The sequence below is a fragment of the Homo sapiens genome, chromosome 19, assembly GCF_000001405.40.
Source record: "Homo sapiens chromosome 19, GRCh38.p14 Primary Assembly".
Classification (NCBI taxonomy): domain Eukaryota; kingdom Metazoa; phylum Chordata; class Mammalia; order Primates; family Hominidae; genus Homo; species Homo sapiens.
Genome location: NC_000019.10, coordinates 56284820 through 56291386, shown reverse-complemented (window position 1 = coordinate 56291386; position 6567 = coordinate 56284820). Strand labels below are relative to the sequence as shown.

The 6567-nt window shown below is 45.9% G+C and overlaps 3 protein-coding genes across 23 annotated transcripts in view; 1 reads left to right on the top strand and 2 right to left on the bottom strand.

Annotated features, from left to right (window-relative positions):
- Positions 1-6567, top strand: part of ZSCAN5A (zinc finger and SCAN domain containing 5A) — a 146976-nt gene that overhangs the window by 76892 nt on the left and 63517 nt on the right. The gene's annotated exons all lie outside the window — the stretch shown is intronic.
- Positions 1-6567, bottom strand: part of LOC124900420 (uncharacterized) — a 37707-nt gene that overhangs the window by 19068 nt on the left and 12072 nt on the right. Inside the window, exons 2-4 of the mRNA XM_047439799.1 lie at positions 6363-6389; positions 2496-2520; positions 541-546 (exon numbers count right to left, since the gene is read on the bottom strand). The gene's annotated coding sequence lies outside the window, so the exon portion shown is untranslated. The remainder of the gene's footprint in view (positions 1-540; positions 547-2495; positions 2521-6362; positions 6390-6567) is intronic.
- Positions 1-6567, bottom strand: part of EDDM13 (epididymal protein 13) — a 37707-nt gene that overhangs the window by 19068 nt on the left and 12072 nt on the right. Inside the window, exons 6-9 of the mRNA NM_001354658.2 lie at positions 6363-6389; positions 2949-3002; positions 2496-2513; positions 541-546 (exon numbers count right to left, since the gene is read on the bottom strand). Of these exons, the coding sequence (NP_001341587.1) occupies positions 541-546; positions 2496-2513; positions 2949-3002; positions 6363-6389 (105 nt within the window). The remainder of the gene's footprint in view (positions 1-540; positions 547-2495; positions 2514-2948; positions 3003-6362; positions 6390-6567) is intronic.

The following is a 6567-nucleotide window of genomic DNA, read 5'->3' as shown; positions in this document are numbered from 1 at the left end:
ACTCCTTTAGAGACGCATTAATCCAGGTGGACAGAAGCCCCAGGTATTCAGTTTCCGTGGGGATTCATCTTCCAGAGATTAGGAAGATACTAGAGCATCCCTTTGAGTCTCCAGGGTTCTCTCTCATTTCTCCCCCGAGGGTCAGGAGGGAGCTTGAGGAAGGAGCAAGGTGCCCCTCTTTGGTTCTCTTCTCAATGGCCCTCCCAACAAATATGTACAACTCAATGCTTTCTTGTCTTCTGGGGCAACGGTCCTGTGAGCTCGGGGACGTGATATGCCAAGGGCTCACATACTCAGTCCTGCATGTAGCCCCAGACCCACCGTATCCCAGACACACCCTCACGGCTCTCCACACAATCTGGGGCTTGCAGCCCACCCTGAAACCCCTTCAGAGAGGGGAGCAGCAGATGGAGGGTCCCTCTCAACTTGTGTTCTACATTGAGAAGAACTATCCAAAGATTCCCTTCTTTGGATAGTTGCCTCTTCTTCCCAGCACCTGAAAACTTCCAAGTGACCCATAGGAAAGGAAAAATAACTTACTTTTTACTGGAGGAAGTAGCAGAACCAGCATTCGGGGAGTCAGTGTGGAGAAGAGTGAGCAAGAGAATAGAATCAGCAGTATAGGACATTCAATTATTCCTCCATTCAATATCGTAAAACTATTTTAAACTGTTTATGTATTTATATTTCATAGAGAAGGGGGTCTTCCTATGTTGCCCAGGCTGATCTTAAACTCCTGGGCTCAAGCCTTCCTCCCACCACAGCCTCCCAAAGTGCTGGGATTATAGGCATGAGCCACCGTGTCCAACCCAAAGAATCACCATTTGGGAAGCAAACTCAAGAGCTTAGAGTTCCATCACAGACATCCTCCTTCTTTAGATATGAAGTAGGGTCCTAGGCCCTAATTTTAAACAAAGACCCTGAGAAGCACTGCTCTAGCTCAGAGGTCAATAAATGTCTGACCTCTAAAGGGTCAGACAGTAAATAGTGTAGGCTTTGCAGGCCACATGGCCCCAGTCACAACTATGCAGCTCTGCCATTAGAGCACAAAGACAACTACAAATAATACCTAAATGAATGGGTGTGATTGTGTGTCAGTAAAACTTTATTTATAAAAACAAGCAGTGGGCCTTTCTGCTGAGTCCTACTTTATCTCAGTAGTTCTCAAACCATCTGAGCCAAACCATCAGAAGCACCTGAGAAACCTTTTGAAAGGACAGATTCCTGGGACCCACCCCTTGGTATTCTCATGCAGAAGGTCCAGGTAGAACAAAGAAATCTGTCTTTTTGAAAAAGTTTCAGATAATTAGCCAGTTTGGGGAAACCACTCTTTATAACTTGGGTTCCATTTGACCAGTGCTCTTGGGAGAATTCAGTTATATAATAGAGGCAGGTTCTCCAGTATTCGTTTTCTTCAACTCCTTCTAATGAGCAAAAATAACATGAATTAGAGGTACAAGAAACATTTGTGAGGGTCAGAAGTGGTGGCTCCTGCCTGTAATCCCAGCACTTTGGCAGGCTGAGATGGGAAGATTGCTTGAGCCCAAGAGTTCAAGATCAGCCTGAGCAACATGGTGAGACCCTGTCTCTACAAAAATGTAAAATATTAGCTGGGTATGGTGGTGTGCACCTGTAGTCTCAGCTACTCAGGAGGCTGAGGCAGGAGGATTGCTTGAGCCTGGGGGGTCTAAGTTGCAGTAAGCTATGATTGCACTACTGCACTCCAACCTGGGCAACAAAGTGAGAACCCATCTCAAAAAAACCCAAAAACAAACAAACAGACCACCACACACAAGAGAAACATTTGTGTGGTCCAACTATGTGCCATACAGTTTTCTAGGACATGTACTAAAAGATGGACAAGTCTTTGGCCTCGAGGATCAGTACTCATGGGAAGAGGGGTCTCTCTCCGTCTTACCCGAACTAGAGTATAAATACGTCTGTCTTCCGAAGAGACTGCTCCACCATCTTTCTTCCTTGAAATTTCCCCTCCCCTCTGTAAAGGGCCTGGCCCCTTTCTCTCCTCCAGACTATCACTTTTCCTTTGGAGGAATGAATGGGGTAAGCTCCCTCGCATTGGAGCAATTTCTACACCAAATAAAAAAAGACATAGCTTACACTTAGTGAGGTGCTGAAGCTAGCTTACAAGAGACAATTACTAAAATTTAGGAATTGTCCAATGCAGCTCTCAGACCCTTAGCATCCTGAAATCAGGCATGGTCAGAGTATTTACACCATGGGAAGTGGTAGTCGCTACAAACCAGGGCTCCCTTTCCCACTCTCCCCTTGCAGAGGTGGTTGTTAGACATTTACCAGCACAGCATAGCTTAGATTCTTTGGCAGAATCTGTACTGATGATGCTCCTGATGCCAGGCGAATGGCTAAACACTGGGGCCTGGACCAACCCTTCCCTGGCATTTTCTTAAAGGAGTTTGAAGGCCCAGCGGTGGTTATGAGAATCTAATTTCAGAGACAAAAACTGTCACAGTACTTACTTTCTTCTTCTGTCCTATCTGGAGGCTAGAATGTAGGCAGCCCAGGTTGCAACGGAGGGGCAGAGTAGAGAGAGAAATCAACATTAAGACACGGGTCTCAGACACCACTGACTAAGCATCCCTGACCAGTCAGAGGAGAGCAGAGGTGGAAATGCTACTGGAGATGAGGCAACCCAATTCACTCATTTTACGGGTGAAGACACAGACTTAAGCACTCAGTCACGCCTTCTAACAAATGTTTATGAGGCATCTCCTGTGTGCTGGGCATCACGCAAGGTATGGAGGGTGCAGTGGAAAGCAAGGCAGGCCAGACCCAGCTGCTCAGGGAGCTCACAGACTAGTCAGAGAGAAGCAGACAGCAAAAGCATCAAAAGTGGGGTATCGTTGGGATGAGTATTCTGGGTAGACCTGCTGGGTTCCATGGGAACCTATAAGGGGGTGATGGTTGCTAACCTTGCGGGGACACCAGGGGAGGCATCTTGAGGGAAGTGATGTTGTGTCTGAGACCTGGAAGATGAGCAGGGGTTAGCTGGGTGAAGAAATTTGGAAGAGGAGGCAGGAAAGTGTCGCAGACAGAGGGAACGATGTGGGCGTCTTCCTGGGCTGGATGGAGCCTGCAGCTGCCGGGGGCTTGAAGGAGCCCACCTCAGGGGCATGATGGTAGGTGATCATGGTACAAGACGTGGCTGGAGAGTATCTGGAGCTCAGTGAGGCAGACCCCTGTGGGTCAGCTTAAGGGCCTCAGCCTTCATCCTAAGAACAGCGGACACCATGGACCCATTTGGGCCTGTGCTCCCTTCTTGGCTCTGCCACACCAGCCTCGTGACCATCAGCAACTCACTCCATCTCCTTGTGCCTCAGTCTCCTCATCAGAAAAGTGGAATCATAAATGAGAGACCCACGCTCCTGGTCTGCCCAGAACTGAAGGGGTTCCCAGGATGCGAGAGTTTCAGAGCTAACACTGGAAGTGTCCTGGGACGAGCTGGTCACTGTAGCTTTTGTGGCATTTACACCTCTTAGAGGGCTTATAAGGATTAAAAGAATCCATGCAAAGGGATACTTGGAAATTCATTGGCTGATTTAAGGTGCTGAATGAATCTACTGTTAGTGGCCACCTTGCCTCTGATGCTCTGCCTCCTTCCAGCCCTCAGTTTCCCCACCTGTTTAATGACTCAGATGATTTCTAGCCCCATGAGTCTGTGACTTCCTCCACATCTGCCTCAACCCCCTGCCGTTATTATACCTGACAGTGGCTACATTCGATTGGTACTTGGTTTCGTGGCAGGCACTTCACATGTGGAATAAGAACATTTTGCTTTTTATAAAGTCCGGCTGCATTCCAAGGAGGAAGCTCCTGGTGCACAGAGGGCTGATATTTATGGGTTAGGTGGACTTGGGGGGATGGGAGTGGGGGAGAACTGAATTATTGTGCTTGTTAAAAGGAGAAGACTGTGTAGCTCCGCAGGCAATGTGGGAGGGAGGAGAGGCGGGAAGGGAAGAAAAGGAGAGGTGAGCAGAGTTGGTAAGGTGAGGAACCATGTGCTCGAGGCTGGACTGACTGTTCCTGACATTCTCCATCAAAACTCAGTCATAGGTTTCCGTAAAATGTTTCCCACAACACATTTCTTGGGGGAACCCCCGGAGGAGAGTTCTACTTCCAGGTCGATGGGCAAGGAGGAGAGTTCTACTTCCAGGTTGATGGGAAAACAGAGAAAGTGCATGGTGGTTTCACCACCTAAGATGGACAAAACTCGGAAACTGTCATCACAGGAGTAACAGAAACCACAAGGAAGACTTTAGACTCCAGAATCCATGGAATGGTGGGGGTGGGAAGGAGTCAAATCCACTTTCACCAGCTCCCTAATATCTGAGTGTTTCTGGCATTTTATCATAATCTCACAACCACACTGTGCAGTGCGTGCTGTGAATCCTGGTTTACCGGGAAGAAAACAGACTTGTCCTGGGTGGTGTGTGCTGGTAAATAGTGGAGCCAGGTGGAAATTCCAGATATGGATGTATTGGGAAGCCCCACTAGCATTCGCTCTGCCGGGCATCTCTAGCAGTGAGAGATGAGTGCTTAGTGACGCCGAGCAGATCTCACGTGGACACAGATTCAGCTTGAACTCCTTGGGTACCACATGGTGAGAAAGGTTTTCTCTCTCCAATTCTCTTTCAACCAGAGAGAAATTCTCAAAATGGCACTAACGCATCTTTAACTCATAACACTTGCTAGTGTTTATTTCCACCGAACAGCGGGAACAACCTTCACACAAAGAGCCTTGGCAGAAAACAGTGTCTAGTTATAATTTAATCTCGTTTTGTTTTCATGATATTTATCTTCACAGTTGTCTCCTCCTTATGAGGCTGACCACTTACTCAAGCGGTATAAAGCAACTTTTTCAAGTTTATTGACTTAAGGAGAAAGCTGTACGTCCATTTGAAGAATGGGAGGTGTGGGGGTTCTGGCGGTGCATAGATGCAGCAAGAACACCTGTTGGGGTTCAGTCCGTCTGTGAAAAAAATATGGGGGGCAGTGTTTTTTGGCCACCACATTATCAAAAATAAAAAGTTTGGGTCAGGTGCGGGGCTCACACCTGTAATTCCAGCACTTTGGGAGGCCGAGGCAGGAGGATCACAAGGTCAGGAGTTCAAGACCAGCCTGGCCAACATGGTGAAACCCCATCTCTACTAATAATACAAAAATTAGCCGAGCATGGTGGTGGGCGCCTGTAGTCCCAGCTACTCGGGAGGCTGAGGCAGGAGAATCGCTTGAACCCGGGAGGCGGAGGTTGCAATGAGCTGAGATCTCACCACTGCACTCCAGCCTGGGCAACAGAGCGAGACTCCGTCTCTAAATAAATAAATAAAAAGTTAGATAATATCCCATGCTGCTGAAGGTGTGGGGAAACAAGCATCCCCACAGGCTGTATATGAAGATGCAAATTTGTTAAACATCTGTCCAGATTTAAAAGGCAGATACCCTTTGACCCAGCCATTTCCCTTTTAGGAACTTAACAGATAGGAATTTGCAAAAATAAAAAAGCAATGACTGGATAAGGATTTCCATTATAGCGCTGTTTATAATAACATCAAAACAAAATAAAACAAAACTGGGCTGGGCGTGATGGCTCATGCCTGTAATCCCAGCACTTTGGGAGGCCAAGGCGGGCGGATCACGAGGTCAGGAGTTCGAGACCAGCCTGGCCGACATAGTGAAATTCTGTCTCTACTAAAAATACAAAAATAATAATAATAATTTAAAAATTAAAACAAACAAAACAAATCAAAATATGTTAGGAATCCCAGTCAATGGGGTGAAAGGAAACAACTAAAAACATATATATTAGAAAAAAAACTAAATGTACATGAACCAGAGGCTCATTAAATTATGGGAGTACACACGAAGCATTTCTCAGGTATTTGAAAGAGGTAAAGTTATATCACTAAAACACATAGTACTTTTAACTTGAAGAGTTAAGGATGTACATACATGTGTATGACTATTTCTGGGGAGAATACACGTGAGACTAGAAATGGTGCTTGCTTCTAGAGAGCAGAGCCGGGAATGTGGTGAAGAGAATGATTTTGACTTTCATTTTATGTTTCCTCGATATTTTCCCATGTGCATATGCTATTTATAAAACTTAAAAAACTCCACAGCATAATAATTATTAGGCAAAATTCTAGCTGTAACCTTATATAGCAATAAAGATTTTCATTACATCAAAGTTCAAACAAAACATGTGCTTGGATAATACCTGAAGTGTTCTTTAGACTCTACCTAAAAGCATAAATGACTCAATAAGTCTACATTACCTTGCGGACAAGAGAAAGACCAGGTTTAAAAGATACAATCCTGACACTTACCATCCGGTGACAGTCTGCTCATGAGACCTGAGGAAGAAGACATAACACATGATGTGCAAATGCAGCAGAAAGAAATATGCCTAATTAATGGATTTCTCCCAGTTCAACAGATGTAACAAACTCTTCTTCAGGAAGTGTGGCTATAATGCCTCAGTCATGATGCCTCATTATTCCCACTTAATCCCCTTTCCTACCTCTATCAATC